The 26,071-nt window shown below is 39.9% G+C and overlaps 1 protein-coding gene and 1 pseudogene across 24 annotated transcripts in view; one reads left to right on the top strand and one right to left on the bottom strand.

The window, feature by feature from the left end:
- The window catches only part of MICU1 (mitochondrial calcium uptake 1), a 258,740-nt gene that overhangs the window by 138,521 nt on the left and 94,148 nt on the right, over positions 1 to 26,071 (top strand). For 20 of the 24 annotated variants that reach the window (NR_199811.1, NR_199809.1, NM_001441228.1 and 17 more), the window contains 2 exons: positions 10,303 to 10,385; positions 12,262 to 12,459. The exons of 1 other annotated variant lie outside the window; for it this stretch is intronic. Coding sequence is in view for 20 of the 23 variants with exons in the window: in NM_001441228.1 (NP_001428157.1) it covers positions 10,303 to 10,385; positions 12,262 to 12,459 (281 nt within the window). In the remaining 3 variants the exon portion in view is untranslated. Of the gene's footprint in view, positions 1 to 9,955; positions 10,067 to 10,302; positions 10,390 to 12,261; positions 12,460 to 26,071 lie in introns of all 24 variants that reach the window. 3 more of the 24 variants (NM_001441231.1, NR_199810.1, NM_001441227.1) reach the window with 3 other exon arrangements.
- SNX19P4 (sorting nexin 19 pseudogene 4) lies at positions 3,704 to 4,332 on the bottom strand (annotated as a pseudogene).

Here is a 26,071-nt window from a genome sequence, read left to right as displayed (position 1 = left end):
ATGACCTTTGCTCTTGACTGACCCACTGGTCTTCGGCTTGACCACTTCCACCTCTTGGTAGCCATTGCTTTGTGCTTTGTCGTCAGGACACGCTGGTAAAGCCATGTTTCATCTGTGGTTACAGTTATTTGAAGAAATGCTTTAAGAACTTGATCCTGCTTGTTTAAAACTTCCATTGAAACTCTGCTCTTGTCTGTAGCTGATCTGGTTGCAACGGTTTGGCACTCATCAAATGGAAAGTTGGTCAACTTTAATTTTTCTGTCAGAATTGTATGTGCTAAACCAATTGAGATGTCTGTGGTGTTGGCTGTTGTTTGTGCTGTTAATCATCATTCCTCTTCAGTCAGGGCACCAACAAGATGAATTTTTTTCCTTGCAAATTGATATGGATGGTCTGCCACACTGTGGGCTTCATCTTCAACATCGTCTCATCCCTTCCTAAAACAAGTTTTCCCTTTGTAAACTGCTGATTTCCTTGGGGCATTGTCCCCATAAACTTTTCATAAAGCATCAGTGATTTCACCCAAGCTTCACCATAAATTTAATGTTTGTTCTTGCTTCGATTTTAGCAGAATTTATGTTGCTCTGATAGGGGCTTTTTTCTAACTGATGTCTTACCCTTCTTAGTGCTTCAAATTAGATCCTGTTCAGACATGTTACAAGTTAGTATGAGTTTATTTTGGTGCAAATTTTTTTTTAAATCCACGCATAGGTTTTTCATAATATGCATTTTCCATAAACTTTTTGAAGACCCTTTGTGCACGTGTGTATGTGTATATGAAAAATTAGGCTGTGCTCAGTGGCTCATGCCTGTAATCCCAGCACTTTGGGAGGCCAAGGCGGGCAGATCACTGAGATCAAGAGTTTGGGACCAGCCTGGCCAATATGGCAAAACCCCGTCTCTATTAAAAATACAAAAATTAGCCAGATGTGGTGGCTCACGCCTGCAATCTCAGCTACTTGAGAGGCTGACTCAGGAGAATCTCTTGAACCCAGGAGGCAGAAGTTTCAGTAAGCCATGATTGCACCACTGCACTCCAGCCTGGGCGACAGAATGAAACTCTGTCTCAAAACAAAACAAAACAAAAAAACAAATTGAACTGTGGTCAGTATTTATAAACTCTCCATGGTCTCATTAAATTTTCTACAAAATACGTCAAAAACTGAGATAGTAATGTTAGTCAGTTTGTCCTTTATATCTAACTAATGTTTTGTTGCATATTTTGATGTATTGTGCTAGTCCTAAAGATACATATTTGTTCTATTGCCATATTCCTATTGGCAACCAACAATACTGAAAATGGCCTTTGTTCTTATTAATCCTTATGCCTTTAGTTCCTTTCCACTTGATGCTTATATTACCACCCTGCTTTCTTTATGTTTTAGTTTTCTTGTATTTCCCTTATTATCTTCTTGCATTTTATTTTTGATATGTTTATTATAAATAACATAATTTGAGCAACTTAGTTTACTTAAATTTGGGGAGATGTATTTGGTCTTCTTTTACCTTATTTTATGTTTTTCATGCTTTCTTGTCACTTTTTTTTTAGGTCTTTTGCATAATTTATTTATTGGGTTTTTCTCCCTGGTAATTTCAACACTCTATTAATGGTGACCTTTGAATTAAATTCACACATAGGGGGTGTGTGTGTGTGTGTGCGTGTGTGTGTGTGTGTGACTGACCTTTTTACCTCGGATGAAGCCGTCCATATCTTTGGATGTCTCCTATTGGAAGTTGAAAATTTTAACTTCCTTTCACTTTCTTCTCCCCACTCAGTTTTTACAATGTCTCAATCTGGCATTTTTTATTCCAAGTTCTCTTTATTTTTAAATAATTTTATATTATATGTGTTCACTTTTAAGAAGTATTTTCCGTACTTTATTATTTTATAACCATTTTGGTATAATAGCTAAGAGTGGCTGCTCTAGTGGACTATTTGGATTTGAATTCCAGCTCTATGACCCTGGACATACTCTCTACTTTAGTCTTCTCTTTTTTTTTTTTAACTGGAAACGGACATTAATAGTACCGACGTCACAGAATGGTTGGGAGGATTAAGGGTTATATATATAATCCTGGTTATATATATAATAACAGGTTAATTATATAATCCTGATTTATAATAAGCATGTCATAAATGTCAGGTGCCATTATTATTATTGTATTAATAATGATTATTTGGCCAGGCAAGATGGCTCACACCTGCAATCCCAGCACTTTGGGAGGTCGAGGAAGGAGGATCACTTGAGCCCAGGAAATCGAGACCAGCCCGGGCAACATAGCAAGCCCCTGTTTAAAACAAAACAAAACAAAACAAAACAAAACGATTATTTAAACTTAAGACTTTTATTGATTTTATTGATTTTATTTTATTAGCTAATTTATTGCTCACATCTTAATTTACCTCATTTTCCTGTCTTTATTTCTTTATTTTGGTTAATTTTTCTTCTTGTTGGCTGAATAATTTTCTCAGTAGGATTGGCAGACTTTTTCTTAAAGGGCCAGATAGCAAATATTTTAGGCTTGTGGGTGATAATGTCTCTGTCACAACTACTCAATTCTGCCCTTGTAACTCAAAGGCAGCTATAGACAATACATAAACAAATAGCTAGCTAGCAGGTTACCAACCATAGTTTACCAACCCTTGTTCCAGACTTTTGTTACTGTTTCTTGTGGAATTTTTATTAGGAAGGTTATGTGGATTATACAATTTCAAAGTCCTTGCATGTCTGAGAATATCTTCTGTTGCTAATGTAGGTAAATGATGACTTCACTTTCGAGGCTGGGACTGGAAGTGGGGAGGTAGAGAGGGTCTCGCTATGTTGCCCAGGCCGGAGCACAGTGACATGATCACAGCTCACCACAGCCTCAACCTCCCCAGGTTCAGGTGATCCTCTGATCTCCTGAGCTCAAGCAGTCTGCTTACCTCAGCCTCCCAAAGTGCTAGGATTGCAGGCATGAGCCACTGCACCTAGCCTGACTTCTCTTTTATGGAATTCTTAGATTACAGTTGTTTTCCCTTAAGACTCTTTGGAACTTGCTCTGTAGTTTTCAAGTGTTGTGGAGAATCATGATACAACGTAATACTTTCTTCTTCCTGATAACTAATTTCTTTTCCTCCTGGATGACTGAGGATTTTTTTTTTTTGTCCTTGGTATTCATCATTTCACCAGGAGAATTTTTTTTTTAATTCTGTGTTAAAGGAGCAGAGCTAAGAAGAACTAGATTAATGCATTTACATATCATTAATTTTAGCTACTTTAGATTGCCTTATTGTCTTGTTCTCCCACTAAGGAAATTTCTGGATATTGTATTCTGAAAGTTAGCCATGTAAACTTCTTGCCATTTTATCATTTCAAATTGCACATCATATGGGAAACTAGATATTTTAAATGGCAGAATGCTGTTTTACACTATGTAGTCTGGTCCCCCTGTAGTACAGTTTCATGGGAGTATACAGCTGCACAACCACAGAAAACACATTTAGGAAGTAGTCTAATTTACTCTTGTTTAAGCATATTAAATCACTAAATGGTTTGAAACTAAAACTTATGGTATAATCAAAACATTGTTAACAGTGTTTTAAATTATAATTCTAGCACAACCAGAAGAAAGAAACTTGACTTTAATTTTATTGAATAACACAGTGTCTTTTGTAATCAATTACAGTCTATGTGGTTTTTTTGTTTTTTGTTGTTTTTCTGAAGCAACAAATCCATAATAGGTGACCTCAGTACTGGGGCTGTGCACAGCAGGATGTGGGGCAATAGCCGAGCAGTAAGCCTCCCAGGGTTCAACTGTACTGCTCCGCTTCCCTGCAGTGGCCTTCTTTGCCTAAATATAGCTCTGCAGGTGACAACCACAGAATCAGAATCCTCTGGGCGAGCGCATGACTGTCCCACCATGCCCATCCTCCTCCTAAGCTCCTGAGCCAGCCCTTTCATGGCCGCCATGCTTCCTCCATGCTTTCTCAGTGGCTGGCTTACTAAGCAATATCAGAATTACACAAAGTCCTGAGTAATCATCTGGATAATGTGGTTGATCTCGTGTTCCAGCTGCTTTTCTGCCTCAGGGCTTGGAGAGCAAGCAGCATTGGGATGAAGCATTCTAGGTGCAGTTGACCTGCAGCCCCCAGACAGTGGCACAGTGGCACCACTAGCAACACAGACAGAAGGCACAGAAGCCACACATTGACCAGAAGCTGGACAACCAGGAGCCAGCCAAGCAAGATGCCCTCCAGCCATCTGGTTCTGGCTATTCAATGGGTTATTGAGGCTATTGCTAGACCCAGCTGGGGTCTCCTGGAAGTGGGGTAGTTTCCTTGTCTTCATGGCTAAAAGGACCCAGTGGCTCCCCGAGATGATTGCCCTTTTTCTGTTTTATTTTAGAATTAGAGAAAAGGGGCCAGGCGTGGTGGTTCATGCCTGTAATCCCAGCACTGTGGGAGGCCAAGGCGGGTGGATCACTTGAGGTCAGGAGTTCGAGACCAGCCTGGGCAACATGGTGAAACCCCGTCTCTACTAAAAATACAAAAATTAGCCAGGCATGGTGGCGCATGCCTGTAATCCCAGCTACTCAGGAGGCTGAGGCAGGAGAATCGCTTGAACACGGGAGGTGGAGGTTGCAGTGAGCCAAAATCACGCCACTGCACTTCAACCTGGGCGACAGAGCAAGACTCTGTAAAAAAATAAAATAAAATAAATAAATATATATATATATATGTATATATATATAGTGCATTTATGGGGGCATTGACCATTTAAAGTACCCCCCAGACGAGGGCTATTATGATGTTGAGGTTTTGGAAGCAAGTTCTAAGAAGCCTTTTTAGAGACATGATAATAGTTTATATGTATTCAGAGGGCCATCATATAAATGAAGAAGCAGATTTATTTCTCTAGAAGATTAAACTATGACAGTTTTTAGGAGCTACACAGGGTAGATTTGGACTGTGCATGAGGAAAAAAAACAGCTCATTTAATATGGTCAACAATGTTTACACCTCAGAAGTGGTGACCTCTCCCTCAGAAATAATCAGAGGCTGTGTGATCATCCTTACAAATTCAGTGGAAAGCTCATCATTGAATAGAGGAACATTCTGGAAGTTTTTTTCAAAACTCAGACTTCTCTGACATTGCATATCAATTACCTCATTTATCCTCTAGCATTCTAAAACAGGAATGGGACAGGTAAGAATTCTTTGATAGGAGAATCAAACCAATAGAAAATAAGAAACTTGTTTAGAATCTAACCTATTCATTTTTTCATCATTCCATCAGTGCTACCAAAAAATAATGTAAGGCAGCAAATGACTCATTAGGTTATTGGAAAAGCCAGAATTAGAACTTTAGTTCAACCATTCCTACCCGTACCATTCCTTATGCATTTTCTATTAAAGAACAGTGAGAGAAATAGCCATGAAATCAACCAGTGAAAGTCTCAGGACAGCTAGTGTTTATCTGATTATGTGACTCAATACACATAGAAAAAGATGGTTTTTTCTCTTTACTAAAACAAAACAGAAAAAATGTGCTTCAGGAAACAGTGTAGAGTTGTCATTATTATTATCATGATTGTCAATGGTGGAATGATATTATAGAAACAGACTTGTAACCAGAACAGACCTAATGTAGCTCTGTATCCTAGTAGCAAAGATTATTAAGGAAATCTAAGTGAAAGGTGTATAGTAACAAACTTTGTGTAGGGTCTTATTGTTCTAATCAGTTTCAACACTTGCTGAGACCATTTTGGAAATCGTGTAGAAAGTAAATTATGCTGTTTTAGCAGGGGGGAAAGCCTCACTCTTCACTCTAAGTAGCCTAGCATTCAAAAGAATTCCTTTTTCAGGGTGGGCGCTGTGGCTCACGCCTGTAATCCCGACACTTTGGGAGGCCAAGGCGGGTGCATCACTTGAGGCCAGGAGTTCTAGAACAGCCTGGCCAATATGGTGAAACCCCGTCTCTACTAAAAATACAAAAATTAGCCGGGGGTGGTGGTGTGCTCCTGTAATCCCAGCTACTTGGGAGACTGAGGCACGAGAATCACTTAAACCTGGGAGGCAAAGGCTGCAGTGAGCCAAGATCATGCCACTGCACTCCAGCCTGGGCAATAGAGCAAGATTCAGTCTCAAAAAAACAAAAAACAAAAAACAAAACAAAAACCAAAATTCCTCTTTCAGAACCTTTCTATGGAAACAGATTATGAGTTAGAATAAACACAGGATGCCATAAGCTTTCCAAAACAACTAGATTTAAAAATTGCCCTGAAGGCTACATTTGAGAGGAGACAAATAAGTTTACAAGAGAATCGCTTGACATCATATACTGTGTAGCATGTTTCACTTAAAGCAAGCTTGTTTTTGGCTTGTTTGTCCCATATGCTTTGACATGATCAGCCAATGAAATTGAATAGGCTGAGAGCTCTTTCTAGAAAGACTGGCCCTGAGAGGCTGGTGAGGCCCAAGTGAGCATGTCCAAGGCTGCAGCCCAGCTTGCCTCAGCAGTGGCCCAAGCACAGGTTCATGGCCTCTGTGGTGTCAGCGCATGTACTTTAACAAGCACTCTCAGTTGCTCCACATAAAGCCAGTACTTTGAAAGGAACTATACCAGGATAAAAAGACAGAGAAACCTCAAGCATTACAGGGTATACTTTGTTTGGTAAAGTGTATTTAACCTTAGTTGTAGGAGGTGATATTAACCATAATATGCTAGAATAACTCATTCAGTCATTTAAATGATCTGGGCACATGCCTTCATGGAACTCACAAGACAGTAAGACTACAAGATCCTGATAAAGCTGAAGTTGTAAGCAGTCTGTGTCACCTCTGTAATTGTGGAGAGAGGGAATGGGGATACTGCTTTAATTCATGTATGGGAGCATATTGACTTCGCTCTTATCAAATGTTTTCCTATTTCTATTAATTTGGGCTGTATTCCTCTGGATATTGTGATGCCGCTTCCTCTGTCACTGCCTCCTTTCCTTTTCGTTGCACTTTAAACATTGGCTTCCACCTGCAATCTACCCTTTTCTTGACCTTCTCCTCACTCCTCAGTTTTGCATGGGCAACTTCCTTTCAGGTTCTTTGCAGCTAGCCACTTGTATGCCCATAAATCCCAGCTTAAACCTCTCTCACTGAGCTTTAGACCCATATTTCCAACTGTCTCCTGAACATCTTCATCTGCATAAGCTGAGACCCCTTAAATTTAGCAGATCCCGTCTGAAATCATTTTATTTCTCAAACATTTTACATCTATTTGCTCTCTTTCTTCATGCCATGCAAGCTACACAGTAGTCTAAGCCAGTCATGCTGTCATTCCTTTTCACTCTCAACTCATCACAGCTAACTAATCATTAAGTTCTATAATTTCTGCCTTCTTTGGGTATCTCAAATGTGTCCCTCCTCTCCATTACCACTGCCATCACTGCAGTTTGCATTTTCAACATTTAAAAGAGCTTCTGATCTTCTTTAAAGCTGGCCTTTCTTTTCCAACTCATTCTTCACACAGTAGCTGGAGAAGTCCTTTATAATTGCTTGATTGTGTCACTCTCCTACTTAAAACCTTCAGTGGCTTCATATTTTCTGCCATTGTTACATTCTCAAGTATCTACAGGAATTAGGCAAATAACATATAGGAGTGAAGTGGGCCAAGTGTGACAAAATAAGGAAGAATAAGAGAGAACATTTCCACCTGAAGAGATTTATAATCAGAAGTTTAAAAAACATGACAAACCAGCCGGGTGCTGTGGCTCACACCTATAATCCTAGCACCTTGGGGAGCTGAGGCAGGAGGATCATTTGAGGCCAGGAGGTTTAAGACCAGCCTGGGCAATGTAGTGAGACCACATCTCCACAAAACATAGAAAAATTATCCAGGCTTGGTGGCACGCACCTGTAGTCCTAGCTACTCCAGAGGCTGAGGCAGGATTGCTTGAGCCCAGAAGTCTGAGGTTGCATTGAGCTATGACTGTGCCACTGCATTCTAGCCTAGATGACAGAACAAGACCCTGTCCCAAAAAACAAAAACACATGACAAACCTATCTGAGAGTTTAATGTTGCCTGTGGATCTTCCATTTACTACGGTCAAGCCTAAACTCCTGAGCATAACACAGGCAGTGTTTCTGTGATATTGGTTATCTCCTTGAGATGATCAACTTGGAATGTTCAGCTTTTGCAGAGACTGACATAACCACTGTGTCATGTTTTGTTGCTTAGTTTTTAGGTCAAATCGTGTCAGCATGAAGAGTGTGTGTTTATCATTTTAAGTACCTCTATGTTCACATTAGAGGCCTTGGAACATAAGGAAAGTTTGTAGGCTTTGGAGTCAGTGTTGACTTAAGTTCAATTCCCACTTCTGCCAAAAAGGAGCTGTGTGATTTTTGAGCTAGCCATTTAACTGCTTTGAGCCCCAATATCCTCCTCTGTTTAAACAATAAAGAAATGAAAGTTTTCAAGATTGAGAGTATGAAGTCAAATAATAAACACCTCCAATTATCTAGCTCAATGCCTGCCACATAGTAACTCCTCAGTAAAATGTAACATTCAGACAGGTAGCAAAAATTTGAGAAGTGACAACAAATATACAAAACTAATTCCCCCAGCTGCATCCTTCCCAGCAATTGAAGGCTGGGTCATGGTGGCTCACACCTGTAATCCCAGGACTTTGAGAGGCCAAGGTGGGAGGATCACTTGAGGTCAGGAGTTCAAGACCAGCCTAGCTGACATGTTGAAACCCTGTCTCTGGCCTAAAGGAAAGCAAACCTATTGGAAGTCAATATCAAGTGAAGCAGACAATTGGAAGCTGACACACACATGATTCACCCAGGCAACTAAAAACCAGGAGTTTCCAGCCTAGCTGCCTAACTACCTGAAAATGGAATTTGAGCCCAGAAAGTGTTTCTGTTGACAAATTCATGAGCAGGATGGGAATATGGCCTCTCTAACAATTATACATAATATACAAAGTTCATTTTACTTTTTTCTCTGCATAAAATCTTAACTTTTTTCATGTAAATGATGTTAACTGAAATTTTAATTCACTAGTATAAGGACACATAGAATATTTATTTTGGTTTATTCTCTAGAGCTGTATAAATTTGAAGCACCAAAGGAAGGAAGTAAACAACTTAGTTTTCTTTACCAGAACATTTAGTATGGGAAGGGAGGAGGGCTGTTGAGTTTATATTTTATTCCAATGCACAGAGTATATTAATGATATTATGACTGATCTAGGAACACTAAAGAAGCCTTGAAAAGCTTTCATCATTAAGGGAAAGTTTTGTCAAGCTTTGCATTTTTTCATTTTGTTATTTAAACTTCAGCTTAATTTTACCATTTAAGTATATTTAGTAATTTGTGTATGCAGCTGACATGATCGAAATAGGGGGCTGAGGCCAGACGCCGTGGCTCACACCTGTAATCCCAGCACTTTGGGAGGCCAAGGCGAGTGGATCACTTGAGGTCAGGAGTTCAAGACCAGCCTGGTCAACATGGTGAAACCCCGTCTCTGCTAAAAATACAAAAATTAGCCAGGCATGGTTGTACATGCCTGTAATCCCAATTACTCGGGTGGCTGAGGCATGAGCATCACTTCAACCCTGGAGGCGGAGGTTGCAGTGAGCCAAGATGGCACTACTGCACTCCAGCTTGGGCAACAGAGTGAAACTGTCTCAAAAAAAAAAAGAAAAAAAAATAGGGGGCTGAGTACCTTACAGTGTACTTTTCTGCCTTACCATAGAGCTGTAGTGATAATGAATAAACTAATAAAAGAAACCAACTTGAAATTATCCATGTTGGCAGGGTGACATGCCCAGAACTCCTGACTGCACTTACAACAAAGAGACTAGAAAGAACAAAGTAGAAAGCTGGCTTGTTGTGAGGGTAAGACTAAGATGTAGTGTTTCAACTTCTTACTTTGCAGCAATATGTCTCACCCTAGACATACTTTCTTGCCCAGATAAGTAATACCATATTGAAGCAACAGAACGTTAATATTACTAAGCTAAGAAGATGGTGTCTCTGAAAGCAAAGCTAAATCATTTAAGGCAAAGCATGTTGAAACAAAAAGGTAGACAAGTGCTGTCTTTACTGGCCGTAGTACTACTCTTTTTTGGTTTCAAGGAGTATTCCTAAAAGGGTGATCTCAATAAATGCAGTTTCATTTTCCATTTATTGAGACTTTGACTCAGTCACTTTTATGGTGACTTTGATATTACATTTTAGTGTTTAGCCTTTTGTTTTTCTTTAAAAAGGGATTTATTTTTGGTCAATGCCTTCTAAATATTTTTTTTCTCTCCTCTGCAGCTCCTCAGAGAAATTTTGAAATTGCCTTCAAGATGTTTGATTTGAATGGAGATGGAGAAGTAGATATGGAAGAATTTGAACAGGCAAGTTGTCCTGGAGAGTTCCTCTAAATACATTAATATTTAAAATACATTTTCATGTGCCTTGGAGTTACCTTAGCCTTGGTCAGTATACTCAGAGGCTATTCCAATTTTTGAAGTACCTAAAATGTCATTTCTCAAAATTATTCTTTGAACAGGTGGGTTGGTTTTATTTGTTTGTTTTCACTCTAAATGTAATGAATTATTTGAACATACCGTTAAGGTCACGGTTGCTCCGATTCTCCAACATAAATTGGGTTATAATGCCTCTAGCTGGGAAGCTAAATTATGGCAATTCAACATTTACCAAAAAGCTGCTATGTGCTAGGCAGTTCCAGAATACAAGGACTACATATTTTCTTAAAGGATTTCTATAAGAGAAGGAAAAATGGTGCCATACCATTTTTGACTATAGTAGGTGACAATTTCAAAATCCTAGGAATAGGTTACATTTCCATAGAACTACTGCCATTGGAGAACCATGGTGCTTCTCCAGATACAGTTATTATGATTGCCAGAAGTGGTCTCAAAACAGAAAAACTGTATGTATAGGAAAAAGCATTTTTTGTATTCTCAAAATGAGGAAAGGGGCAAATATTCCAGGAAGTGGGAGAAAGTATCAGGTACATTATATAAGGTAAGAAACTGGGCTGAACACGATCACTCATGCTTATAATCCCAGCACTTTGGGAGGCAGAGGCGGTTGGGGGACCACTTGAGGCTAGTTTGAAACCAGCCTGGGCAACATAGTGAGACCCTATCTCTACAGGGGGAAAAAAAATTAGCTGGGATTGGTAGTATGTGCCTGTAGTCCTAGCTACTCCGGAGGCTGTGGTGGGAGGATCACCTGAGCACAGGATTTTGAAGTTGCAGTGAGCTATGATCGTGCCATTGCACCCCAGCCTGTATGACAGGCAAGACCCTGTCTCTTTTTTTTTTTTTTTTTTTTTGAGATGGAGTCTCGCTCTGTCACCCAGGTTGGAGTATAGTGGCACAATCTTGGCTCACTGCAACCTCCACCTCCTGGGTTCAAGTGATTCTCCTGCCTCAGCCTCCTGAGCAGCTGGGATTATAGGCACCCACCACCACACCCGGCTAATTTTTGTGTTTTTAGTAGAGATGGGGTTTCACCATCTTGGCCAGGCTGGTCTCGAACTCCTGACCGCAGGTGATCCACCCACCTCAGCTTCCCAAAGTGCTGGGATTATAGGCATGAGCCACCACACCTGGTCATGAGAGAGTTTTTGAGTCTCCAAAACAAATGTTCATCCTTTCCTGAACAGAGATTTTCTAAGAGGATCCCAATTATAAAGTTGTCAGGCTGTCTGTGTTAGAACCCTAATTCTGCTACTTACCAGCCACTTGACCTTGAGCAAGTTATTTAATTCCGTGTGCTTCAATCTTATTTATAAAATAAGGATAATAATAGCACCTATAAGATTATTGTAGGCTGGGCGCGGTGGCTCACTCCTGCAATCCCAGAACTTTGGGAGGCCAAGGTGGGAGGATCACTTGAGGTCCGGAGTTCAAGACCAGCCTGGCCGACCTGGTGAAACCCTGTCTCTATTAAAATACAAAAAATTAGCCAGGCATGATGGTGTGTACCTATAGTCCCAGCTACTCAGGAGGCTGAGGCATGAGAATTGCTTGAACCCGGGAGGTGGAGGTTGCAGTGAGCTGATTTTGTACCACTGCACTCCAGACTGGGTGACAGAGAGAGACTCTGTCTCAAAAAAAAAAAATTGTTGTAAGCATTAAAAGAGATAATTATAATACAGAGTAGGCAAATAGTAAACAATAGTTATGATTCTTGCTTTTCTATGTTTATGTTTTCTCACTTCCTAATATTTTTCTGGATGTGGGTTTGATTCTGTATTAGGTTCAGAGCATCATTCGCTCCCAAACCAGTATGGGTATGCGCCACAGAGATCGTCCAACTACTGGCAACACCCTCAAGTCTGGCTTGTGTTCAGCCCTCACAACCTACTTTTTTGGAGCTGATCTGAAGGGAAAGCTGACAATCAAAAACTTCCTCGAATTTCAGCGTAAACTGCAGCATGATGTTCTGAAGCTTGAGGTAGGTCTTCCTTAGACTCAGTAGATCCATCACATGTGGAACTGATGGGCAGGAGGGCCTGTACTATAGGCATTCTTTCCATTTACCTCCAGCTGTGAGAACTGATTGATTTGAAGCTTATCAGTGCTTTATAAACTGACAGCAGATAGGAAACAACATGTTCTGTGAAAATGTCATGAAGTGAAGTATTTCTGTAATCTAAAACCAAAAACCTCTAAATTGAAAAATCTTAGCTGTCTTTGTATGTTCCGTTTGTGGAGAAAGAAACTCAGGGGTCACAGCAGTTCTCAATCTGAGCATATATTCCTGCTTTTTTGTTTATTGTGTGGAAGACACCAGAAGATGGAGATGAAGAAGGATGGATAATTGCAAAGGTAGTAAGAGCTGGAAACACAAAATGTCAGAATAAAAATATGTGTGCTTAATATAAAATATATGTGCTTAACCAGGCACAGTGGCATACACCCATAGTCCCAGCTACCCGGGAGGCTAAGGTGGGAGAATCGCTTGAGCCCAGGAGTTTGAGAGCAGCCTGGGCAACACGGTGAGATCCTGTCTCTTTAATTGTTTAAGGCAATGTTGCTGAGAGTTGCAAAGGTATCTTACTGTGTTTGGGGATTTACAAGTTTACTTTTCCATTTAAAGTTTAGACCATCATGCTATTCTAGCTATTTATTCTGTTCCATTCAAAACATTGATCAAATGCCTTCTATATGTATTTTTGTCTGGAGACAAAAATCTAGTCTCTAATTTCTTGACATTTTTAAAAATTCTCTTACACTGGTGTTTCCCAACCTCTTTTCTTTTTCTTCTTTTTTTTTTTTTTTTTTTTTTTTTTTTTGAGACAGTCCTACTCCATCAGCCAGGGTGGAGTGCAGTGGCATGATATGATCTTGGCTCACTGCAACCTCCACCTCCCAGGTTCAAGCGATTCTCCTGCCTCAGCCTCTCGAGTAGCTGGAATTACAGGCATGTGCCACCACACCCGGCTAATTTTGTATTTTTATTAGAGACGCAGTTTCACCATGTTGGCCAGACTGGTCTTGAACTCCTGACCTCATGTGATCCTCCTGCCTCGGCCTCCCATAGTGCTGGGATTATAGGTGTGAGCCACCGCACCCGGCCTCTCTTTTTCTTTTAACACACGCCCTACCTTAATATTATTTGGAATTTCAAAACATTAACTACTATAACTAAAACAGGTGAAAATACTGGAGAAAGGTGCTATGTTGTTTTTAAACTATGTATGTTACTTCTGTATCTGCTTTCCCTGTTTCCCCAAGATTCTTATATATGATTTCACCTTTTCCACCCACTTGTCTCAATTGTGTTGTTTTGTTCAATGTCGTTTTGTTGTAACACTGATGAGCGGGAACAAATTGATTTCCCCCTAGAGCCACTTTCTGTGCGGAGTCCCCTGTCTGTTTGAGTTTTCCCTGAGTACTCCGGTTTCCTCTCATATCCCAAAGATGTACATGTTCGGTGCACTGGAGTGTCTAAATGGTCCCAGTCTAAGTGAGTGGGTGTGTGTGAGTGTGCCCTGAGATGGAGCGGCATCTTGTCTGGGGTGGGTTCCTGCTTTGCACCCAGAGCAGCCAGGATAGTCTCTGATCATCCTCCATCCTGAACTGGAATAAGCATGTTAGAAAATGAAAGAATGCAAATTATTGTGAAATAAACTCATAAAGTAGATGATAAACAATGCAGTGCAAAAGCTCTCAGTGAGACTGCCATATTGGTTATTGTTTATGTTTGAACTTCATGGTAGGAGGAGGTACTTATTACAATTTTCACTTTGCAAACATTTATTTCTTGATTTAACCCACCACCACTATGACCACCGACATCTAATCACTAAAAATTGGGTAAATGACTATCTTACTTGTTTTTATCAATCTTTCTTAGATCTATATATATAGCTCACATTTATTTCAGTGTTTACTATTAGAAGTGTTTTGGGTCTTTATTTAGAAATTTGGTGATGCTTTTGTTTTCATTTTGAGATGGAGTCTTGCTCTGTCTCCTGAGCTGGAGTGCAGTGGCGCGATCTCCACTCACTGCAGCCTCCACCTCCCAGGTTCAAGCGATTCTCCTGCCTCAGCCTCCTGAATAGCTGGGATGACAGGCGTGCCCCACCACGCCCAGCTAATTTTTGTGTTTTTAGTACAGTCAGGGCTTTACCATGTTGGCCAGGCTGGTCTCGAACTCCCAACCTCAGGTGATCTGCCCACCTCGGCCTCCCAAACTGCTGGGATTACAGGTGTGAGCCACCACTCCCAGCCATGCTGATGTTTTTGTGACCAGAAATATGCCATAGGAAATTAACTCTCATCTTTATCAATTAGCCTATGGTAACATTGGTTTTGTTAAGCATTGTTTCACTTAAAGTCTCAGTTTCCTAGAACCTAGTGAAGACTTACTGTATACTAAAAGGTCAGTAAGTGTTTGCCATGTTGAAAAGTTTTACAGCTTCCCTACTCCTTTTTTCTTTTTTTTTCTTAACTAAATACTGTATAGGATTTTTTTTTCAATACCTTTACATGAAGCAAACACAGCTTCCCTATTCTAACTTCCTTGCACAGCTGGATAGATAACTTCTCTGTCTAGTGAAAAGCTCAAGGCTAAGTAAGTATCAGGAAAGGTTAAGTGCTTAGACTTCAAAGGGTTTTTTCTTCATCGCATACAGAGGAATGTGACACATCAGCCTAGAAAATCACTTGAAAAGATTTCAACAATAATAGAAGCAAAAGACATTATCTGGTCAGCTCTCAATAAACCAGAAAATTAGTCATAAATTAATCGTAATACCTCAGTTTCTAAATATTCTAGTTAGCGACGTTTTCCTTTTGTCTAGTTGTACGTAGAGGGCTCTATCTTCAGAATAACCACAGTACTCTTGTTTTTTGCCAGTTACCTTGCCACAGTAAACTGTAGCAGATCATGGAGTTCAAAATATAACTTCACAGAATGAAGAAAATGTATGTCCAATAGCATTTAAGTATTATGCTTCCAGAGCTTTATTTGGAAATGGTAACATTACTATTTTTACCCTATGGAAAACAGATACTTCTGAGGCAGTGAATTTTATTTTGTTCACTGATTTATATTGGGTATTTTTATATGTAAAATATACTAGATATGTTACAACAAATACACACACACACACACAAAGGCATAGTGCTTACCTTTGTGAAGTTTGCATTCTTATAGGAATGTTCCAATATACTCCTCAGAGTATAGAAGAAAGAAGTAGACCTCATCTAACAATGTTTGTGTGAGAGTTAGTATGTACCAGGGTTCAAGTCATATGCCTTGCCTTCCTAGTATGCATATATACCCAGACTGGTCTTCTTTGGGAGTATTTGTAACATAATCTGGGAATGTAAGTGATTTACCTTATTAATTATGTAATTACAATTAAACAGAGTGTAGGTCCAAAAAATGTAGTTAAAGAAGCACAAACTAGGGTAATACTTTTAGCAAAAACAAAAACAAACAAAGAAATTTAAAAAAAACAATAAAAACAAACAAAAAAACTTTTAGCAAAAACATACAGGGTCAACCAGAGCACTGAGCAGGTGCCAGCCTGACCACAATCTAAACCAACACTTGTTCCTAGAAACACAAATGAGAGCCTAGAGAAACAGAGCATAGGACTTTTGTCTTGCATACTGAGATGCTATAGAGTTGAAAGCCCACTAACATACTGCGTAGAAGGCCGGGCATGGTGGCTCATGCCTGTAATCCCAGCACTTTGGGAGTCCAAGGCGGGCAGATCACGAAGTCAGGAGATTGAGACCATCCTGTCCAACATGGTGAAACCCCATCTCTACTAACAATACAAAAAACTAGCTGGGCATGGTGGCGCGTGCCTGTAGTCCCAGCTACTTGGGAGGCTGAGGCAGGGGAATCGCTTGAACCGGGGAGGTGGAGGTTGCAGTAAGCCAAGATTGCGCCACTGCACTCCAGCCTGGTGACAGAGTGAGATTCTGTCTCAAAAAAAAACATATTGTGTAGCATGCCCATGAGGGAAAATATTATAAAGCAGATTAGGGGTTTCATGCATGTGTTCCTACACATAGCCTACACCCAAATGCAGAAGAAAAGAGATGTAAAAGACAGTTGTATCTAAGATACTTACTCTAGAAGGCTCTCTTTTGTTTGACATTCATGTGGAACTATCTGTAGGCTTTGGACCAAGATGTGCTAAGACTGTTCCTTTTGCCAGTCAGCAGTTCCTCATGTGAGGAGACCAATAGACTCTTGTGAAAGAATGCAGCCTAACATGTAGTAAGTGTTCTGTAAGTGGCTAGTAATACTGAATCCATTCTTCCCATATCATGGCATAAGTCTAGTGCTATGGTTTCATTATACACCACCTCACCCCCCCCGATCAAAGTTCATGTATTGGAAATTTAATTGCTGTTGTATCACTGTTAAGAGGCAGGGGCTTTAAGGGGTGATTAGGTCATGAGGGGTCTGCTATCATAAATGCATTAATGTCATTTTCATGGAAGTGGCTATTGCTGTGGTAGTGGGCTCCTGATTAAAGAGTAAGTTTGGCCCCCATTTACCCTCTGTCTTACATGTTTGCTTGCCCATCCACCATGAAAGGACCCCTGCCAGATATTGGTGCCATGCTCTTGGACTTCCCAGCCTCCAAAACCATGAGCCAAATAAACTTCTGTTCTTTATCAATTATCCAATCTGTGGTATTCTTTTATACCAGCAGAAAATGGACGAAGACGTCCAGTAGAATAAGTACCTTCTTATTGATGACATCCTTACATAAAATTTCATCAGTCAGTACTGTGTCTTCCCAACTACATTTGTCCTTCTTTGAGGAAGCGTGACTAGCAGCAAGAGTATAGGCTTTAGTGCTAATGAGGCCTTGGTTAAAATTTTGGTCCCACCACTTACTGGCTATGTGATATTTGATTAGTTAGTTATTCTCTCAGAGCCTGGCTCCTCATTTGTAAAACAGGGCAATGGTTAAGTGAGATGATGTTTGTAGTGGGATGAATTGTGTCCCATCAAAATTCCAAAATTCCTACGTTGATGTCCCAACCCCCAGTATCTCAGAATATGACTTTACTTGGAGATAAGGTCTTTAAAGAGGTGATTGCATTAAATGAGGGGTAAGAGTGGGCTCTAATCCAACCTGTCTGGTGTCCATATAAGAAGAAGAGATTTAGGCACAACAAAAAGACCCAAGAGATAATCATGTGAAGAGGCAGCCAGAAGGCAGTCATCTGTAAGCCAAGGAGAGAAGCCTCAGAGGAAACCAACCCTGCTGACCCCTTGAACTTACACTCGTATAGCCTCCAGAACTATGAGAAAAAGTCCTAGTCTGTAGTATTTTGCTATGGGAGCCTTAGCAAACTAATAAAATATTTCATACCTAACACCACTGGGCATGCACTGTGCCTTTAATAAGTGTGTTCACCTTCCCATTTATACCCACTGCCACCTAGTATGGCAACAGGCATATAAATAGGTCATCTCACTTGGATGATTGAAAGGCCTTACTTTCATTTTGAAATAGTTTTCTGATAAAACATCTGGAAAATGGCAGCAATTTTTGTTTTATGAAACACTTTTAATTTCACTTTTCTAAGTTTGGGTAATTTCTCCTTTCATTGAGTATGAAATATAATCTCATCATCACAGCCAAGAGGAAAATAGAAAAGATTAGTAGTATCTTAATAACTTTTGTATGGGTTTTATAATTCCACCATTCTTTGTATCCATCTCTCACTAGCTTCATTTCATTATTTACCTACTTTAAAACTTCAGATCCAGGAGATTTATTGTTCCATTTAGTTATTTCTGTCTTTTTCTCATCACAGTAGCTTTGAAAGTGAAGAGAGTGCTATTTATCTGTCAAACTTAATTTCCAGAGGGGTCAGAGAAAAGGGATAAGTTCATGATCATTTATTGAGTACCTACTATGAGCCAGGCACTTTATATACATTACATGCCTTCTTTATTTTAATTCTCAACAACCCTGTCAGGTTTAGTGATGTTTTACCCATGTTCTGGATGTAGAAACTGAAACACAAAGAGGTAAAAGTCACAGGACTATTATATGGTAGAACTAGGATTCCAACTCGGGTCTACTTCACACTGTCTTTCAGACTGAACTATTTCTGTTCTTTGTCTGATTAAGTTATTACTTTTAGTCTGAAATGGCATTTCTGTACCTGATTTATTTGGGACTCTAAAGAAAAATAAAATTGTCTGAATTTTAGAGACAGAAAAAGACCAAATTTCTGGAATATGTACAGTCTACCTTCTTCAGAATCTTTTACCAATTTCTTTGCCACTCAAGTCTTATGACTGTGGAGAAATACACTGTTCTTTTGTGCTTGCAAGATACTACCTAAACTAGCCATTTAATTATATTTAATCACAAGAATTATTAGCTGCTGGATTTTACAGCTATTTTAATGCTCTTAATTCTGATCTCTTTTTTTTTTCATTCTACCCTTTTTTCTTTATTTGGGAACTCACAAAAAAAACAGGTCTAAAAGAATGACTTAAGAATATAAGGTTGGTTTTTAAAATTCTCTTTTAAGGTTATTAAAAATTTCGTCTAAGGCTACTGAGAACTATTGAGTTCCTTGGAGATAGGTGCCAAATCTAATTCCAGTTAATATATTCATTGATTTCTTAATGACTGTAGCAAGTAGGATGTCAGTCAAAACTGAAAGGTATTAGAAAATTATTTGAAAGGTTATGGTTAATTTTAATTTGAGAGGGGTAAGGGGGGAAAGGAGCTGTCATATCAAAAAAAAAAAAAAAAGCAAAAACTAATTTGTAGAAGAAAGAAGCAACCAACTCCAGAATATAAGACAAGGACACTGAAAAGGTATTATCTAATAGAATTCCAGTCTGTAGCATGATCTTGCTTATAAGCTGGGATTCACGTGCTTAGCAAATAACCAATAAAATTGTTACATTTTGGCCCGGCACGATGGCTCATGCCTGTAATCCCAGCACTTTAAGAGGCCAAGGCAGGCAGATAACCTGAGGTCAGGAGTTTGAGACCAGCCTGGTCAACATGGCAATACCCCGTCTCTACTAAAAATACAAAATTAGCCGAATGTAGAGGCCCATGCCTATAATCCCAGCTACTTGGGAGGCTGAGGCAGGAGAATCACTTGAACCCAGGAGGCAGAGGTTGCAGTGAGCCGAGATCATGCCATTGCACTCCAGTCTCATGCCATTGCACTCCAGGGCGACAAGAGCGAAACTCTGTCTCAAAAAAAAAAAAAAAAATTGTTACGTTTTAAGAAGCACGAGTGTCAATTATCTAAAGGTAAATTAGGTATGATTCAGAGGATAACAGTAACTGATTTATATTTCAGTCTTCAAGAAAAAATATTGAGGTTAAACTAGATTTGTTCAATCAGAAAGAAAAAGAGAGATATAAAGAACTATGTTAATTATTCTCATCTGTCAATAAGAATAGAGACAAGGCCGGGTGCAGTGGCTCACATCTGTAATCCCAGCACTTTGGGAGGATGAGGCAGGCGGATCACCTGAGGTCAGGAGTTCGAAACCAGCCTGGCCAACATGGCGAATCCCCGTTTCTATTAAAAATACAGAAAATTAGGCCGGGAGTGGTGGCTCATGCCTATAATCCCAGCACTTTGGGAGGAAGAGTGGGTGGATCACCTGAGGTCAGGAGTATGAGACTAGGCTGACCAAGATGGCAAAACCCCATCTATACTAAAAATACAGAAATCAGCCGGGTGTGGTGGCATGTCCCTGTAATCCCAGCTGCTTGGGAAGCTGAGGCATGAGAATTGCTTGAGCCCGGGAGGCGGAAGTTGCAGTGAGCCAAGATTGCACCATTGTACTCCAGTCTGGGCAACAGGGCAAGACTCTGTCTCAAAAAACAAAACAAAACAAAACAAAAAACCAGAAAATTAGTCAGACGTGGTGGCATACTCCTGTAATCCCAGCTACTCGGGAGGCTGAGGCACAAGAATCGCCTGGACCCAGGAGGTGGAGGTCGGAGTGAGACAAGATTGCACTACTGCACTCCAGCCTGGGCAACAGAGTGAGACTTCGTCTCAAAAAAAGAAAAAGAGTAGAGATGAAAAAAAAAAATGAAGGTATTAAGTTAAATATCAAGGAGCTTTTTAAAAAGATTATAACTACAACTAAATGATTAAAAGTACCTAAAGAGATTCTAGAATCACCCACCCTTTAAATCATCAAGTTGACATCTTTCTACCCATCTTTTTAAAGTGCTAAGGTAGAATTAAATCTGTCTGATGCAACAAATGACCGTATCAAGGGACATGCCTCAACTCCTTTCCTGGCCAAAATATTATAGAAAAGGAGACCAGAAGGCAAGAAGGCTTTCAATCCAACACTTGTTGGAACTAGAACACTCTTTGGCAAAGTAGGTTTCTTTTTGCACTGATAGCCCAGTTTTGTTGGTTTTGTTCTCTGGGGAAGTGTAAACTAAATGATGAGACCTGACTCTTGATTTAATTAAATCCAAGAAACAAAATGATATGTTCAATGACATTTCCTTTAGTTTTGTACTTCCGCTTTGCCTCTACAAAGCAGAATGTGGGTAGTTTCTTATTCCATCCTTAGAGGTTTCCAGTTTGACTTTTCCAAAAATTGGAAGAGTTTGTTAAAGAGTACAGTAGTCCTCCCTTATCTGCAATTTCTCTTTCTAAGATTTCAGTTACCTGCCGTCAACTGTAGTTCAAAAATATCAAATGGAAAATTCCAGAAATAAACAGTTCATAAGTTTCAGATTGCATGCCTTTCTGAGTAGTGTGATAAAATCTCATGAGGTCCCACTTGTTCCGCGGGGACATGAATGACCTCTTTGTCAGCATATAGAGGCTGTCTGCACTGCCCACCCCTTAGTCACTTAGTAGTCATTTCTGTTACCAGATCGACTGTTGCAGTGTTGGAGTGCTTGTGTTTAAGTAACCTTTATTTTATTTACTAATGGCCCCAAAGCACAAGAGTAGTGATGCTGGTAATGTAGATGTGCCAGAGAGAAGCTGTAAAGTACTTCCTAAAAGGTTGAAAGTTCTCAACTTAATAAGGAATGGAAAAAAATTGTATGGTGAGGTTGCTAAGATCTATGGTAAGAAAGAATCTCCTAGCTGGGAAATTATGAAGTAGGAAAAAAAATTATGCTAATTTTGCTGTTATATCTCAAACTGCAAAAGTTATAGACACAGTGTGTGATAAGTGCTTAGTTAAGATGGAAAAGGCTTTAAATGTAGGAGTGAAAGACCTGAACAAGGGCCAGGCATGGTGGCTCATGTCTGTAATCCCAGTACTTTGGGAGGCCGAGGCAGGCAGATCACCTGAGGTCAGGAGTTTGAGACCAGCATGGCCAACATGGTGTAACCCTGTCTTTACTAAGAATACAAAAATTAGCCAGGTGTGGTGGCAGGTACCTGTAATTCCAGCTGGTAGGGAGGCTGAGACAGGAGAATCACTTGAACCCGGGAGACAGAGGTTGCAGTGAGCCAAGATTGTGCCACTGCACTCCAGCCTGGGTGACAGAGTGAGACTCTATTTCAAAAAAAAAAAAAAAAAAAAAAAAAAAAGACCTGAACAGAAACATGTTCCATGTGACGGCAAATGGGTTCAGTACTATTCTTGGTTACAGGCTTCCACTGGGTATCTCAGAATGCATCTCCCAGGGATAAGAATGACAGCCATACTTGTTTCTTTTGGGTATTTATAACTTCAGTGAGCCAAGTATATGTTTAAGGGTTTTTACCAAAAAAAAAAAAAAAAACAAAAAACTATGGGCTGGGCATGGTGGCTCATGCCTATAATCCCAGCACTTTTGGAGGCCAGGGCAGGAGGATCACTTGAGGCCAGGAGTTCAAGCCTGGCCAACATGGCAAAACCCTGTCTCTACTAAAAATACAAAAAAATTAGCCAGGCGTAGTGGTGCACACCTGTAATTCCAGCTACTCGGGAGGCTGAGGCATGAGAATCATTTGAACCCAGGAGGTGGAGGTTGCGGGGAGCCAAGATCACACCATTGCACTCCAGCCTGGGCGACAGAGCAAGACTCCATCTCAAAAAAATTTTTTTTTCCTCAGGAGCTTTTATGTCAATCACCCATGTCTTGATATCAACATTCTTTGAAACTAATTCTATTTTCTCTATATATACACTTCATGGGGTAGGTCCAATATCTTGCCCTGATGAGATCAGGTTAGCTCTCAGGGTGAGCCAGTTTAATGAGAAAATGTATAAAATCCAAAGCCAAACTCTGATTTAATTTCTTGCAATTCCCTTTATTCTCTCCAGCTCAAGTTTGCTATCATTTCTGGCTTATAGGTTCTCTGGTTGTAAAGTCAAACTGAAAATACTATATAGTTATGTATTGCTTAATGATAAATTCTGAGAAATGCATTGTTAGATGATCTCATCATTGTGCAAACATCGTAGAGTGCATTTACACAAACCTGGATGGTATAGCTATATGGTATATAGGTATACCATAGGCTATATGGTATAGCCTATTGCTTCTACGCTACAAACCTATACAGCATGTTACTGTACTGAAATAATTACTGTATTTTACTAGTACAGTATTTTTAGAAAAACATAAAGCATTTAGTCAACATGTACTGCTTTCTCCTTGCAAAAATCTGGTGAGGAAATGCCACAGCAAGCATTATTTAACCTAATGTGTATACGTATGTGTGTATGTATACGTGTGTGCGCGTGCGAGCACACGTGCATGTGTGTAAAAGAACTATAACAGTTCTTTTTTTTTTTTTTTTTTTTTTTTTTTGAGACAGAATCTCACTCTGTCACCCCGGCTAGAGTGCAGTGGTACAATCTCGGCTCACTGCAACCTCTGCCTCTTGGGTTCAAGTGATTCTCCTGCATTAGCCTCCTTAGTAGCTGGGATTACAGGCATGTGCCACCACACTTGGCTAATTTTTGTATTTTTAGTAGAGACGAGGTTTCACTATGTTGGCCAGGCTGGTCTTGAACTCCTGACCTCAGGTGATCCACTCGCCCCAGCCTCCCAAAGTGCTGGGATAACAGGCATAAGCCACTGTGCCTGGCCAACAATTCTTTACAAAACAAGGCAATTGTAAAACAATGGTAAGTATTTGTGTAAGTAAACATATCTAAGCATAGAAAAAGCAGAGTAAAAATATGGTATAAAAGATTTTAAAAAATGGTACATCTGTAAAGGCACTTAACCATGAATGGGGCTTGCAGGACTGGAAATTGGTTTGGTTGAGTCAGTGAATGAATGATGATGCGTGTGGTCTAAGACATTGCTGTACCTTACTGCAGACTTTATATACACTGTACACTTAGGGTATACTAAATTTATAAAACAAAGTAACTGCATTGCAACCTCACAACATCACTAGGTGATAGGAATTTTTCAGTTCCATGATAATCTTATGGGAACGCCATTATATATGCAGTCTCTCATTGACTGAAATGTCCTTATGCAGCACATGACTGTATATGGTAGAATCTCCATGGTTATGTAAAGCTCCTTTGTAAATGCAACCTTGATAATATCTTGATAATTATTCAGTAAAAGTGTGCCAAAAAGTGCTTTTTTGTTTCATACCTTTTGGAGAATGGAGGAAAAATTTTAAGAGTGACACTTTGTAGCTTAAATATATTATGTGGGCAAAGTTTTTTAAAGGCATTATCACTTCTGAATCTGACCTTTCAGATGGATCATTAAAAGTGCGGCCGGGCGCCATGGCTCATGCCTGTAATCCCAGCACTTTTGGAGGCCAAGGTGGGCAGATCACCTGATGTTGGGAGTTCGAGACCAGCCTGACCAACATGGAGAAACCGCGTCTCTACTAAAAATACAAAATTAGCCAGGTGTGGTAGCACATACCTGTAATCCCAGCTACTCGGGAGGCTGAGGCAGGACAATCGCTTGAACCCGGAAGGCGGAGGTTGCAGTGAGCCGAGATCGTGCCATTGCACTCCAGCCTGGGCAAGAGCGAAACTCCGTCTCAAAAAAAAAAAAAAGTGCAGAAGACTCATAGAGATTGATATTTTTCTTTGATTTGCAGATAGCTTTGCAATTCCAAAGTCAATGATATGTTAGTGATGCCTTTGTAATATTTGTCAATCCCCAGGATTTTCCTGTTATCAGATATCTTTAATGTTACATTTTAAGTTCATTTGAAACTGGCCACAAGATAAAAGGAGCTCATAAATAAGTCATGAAGCTTTGATTTTTCTCCATGGAAACTTTTCCTCAATCAGTCTTTCAAATAGTCTTAGCAACATCTTTTTAGTAGAACCCAGGTGCTTCTCAACTTATGAATAAGCTCTATACCAGTGTATAAAAAGTTCTTAGGTCATTTATTTGGAATTCAGAATGCAGGAATAAATTTTTAGTCTCACATACAACAGAATATTCAAGGTACCACAGAAAGGTAATACAGTAAAATGAAAAATAGTATAGAAGAAGGTGATTATGAATTTATAGTTCAGTGTTTCATCTATATATACACTTCTAGCTACAACAGTCCGTGGCTACAGACTTCTGTCAGTCTCGAGCATATGTGTAGTATATATTCAAACAAAAGTTTGAGTACATACTACATAATAAAAATACTAGCTAGCACTTCCTGAGAGCTTACCATGAGTCAGACACTATTCTAAGTGCTTTATGTACAGGTGCTCCTTGACTTATGATGATGTTTCAGTAAATCCATCATAAGTCAGAAATGCCCTTAACCAGCTACTTGGGAGGATAAGGTGGAAGTATTACCTGAGTCCGAGGAGGTCAAGGCTACAGTGAGCTGTGATTGCCCCACTGCACTCCAGCCTGGGTGACAGAGTAAGACCCTGGCTCAAAAAAAAAAAAAAAGAAAAGAAAAGAAATACATTTAATACCCCAATAAACCCACCATAAAGTTCAAAAATTGTTAAGTGGGACCATTGTAAGTTGGGGGCTGTCTGTACGTTGTTTCATTTGATCTTCTCAGTGCTATGAGGTTAGTATTTAATAAATGAGGAAATTGAGGCAATAAGAGGCTAAATAACTTGCTCAAAGTCTCACACATGATAAAGGTGGAGCTGAGATTTGATTCCAGGCAGTCTGGCTCCAGAGTCTTTTTGTTGTTGTTGTTTGTTTGAGATGGAGTGTTTCACTCTTGTTGCCCAGGCTGGAGTGCAGTGACATGATCTCGGCTCACTGCAACCTCCGCCTCCCTGATTCAAGCACTTCTCCTGCCTCAGCCTCCCGAGTAACTGAACTACAGGTGCCCACCACCACACCTGGCTAATTTCATGTATTGTTAGTAGAGACAAGGTTTCACCATGGTGGCCAGGCTGGTCTCAAACTCCTGACCTCAGGTGATCATCCTGCCTTGGCCTCCCAAAGTGCTGGGATTACAGGCATGAGCCACTGTGCCCGGCTCAGAGTCTTTTCTTAACTACTAATAATTTACACTAGTTTTCCAGGAACTGTGCTAAATGCTTAAGATACAAAGATGAGAAAAACATTGTTCTGCTTTCAAGAAGCTTATAAAGGTAGGATAAATGAACAAGAAATACTTGCACAGTACATAAGTACAGTACAGTTGTAGAGATATGTATA

This window comes from Homo sapiens, chromosome 10 (genome assembly GCF_000001405.40).
Source record: "Homo sapiens chromosome 10, GRCh38.p14 Primary Assembly".
In the NCBI taxonomy this organism is placed as follows: domain Eukaryota; kingdom Metazoa; phylum Chordata; class Mammalia; order Primates; family Hominidae; genus Homo; species Homo sapiens.
The sequence above is the reverse complement of the archived record's forward strand: the minus strand, read 5'-3'. Positions and strand labels throughout refer to the sequence as shown.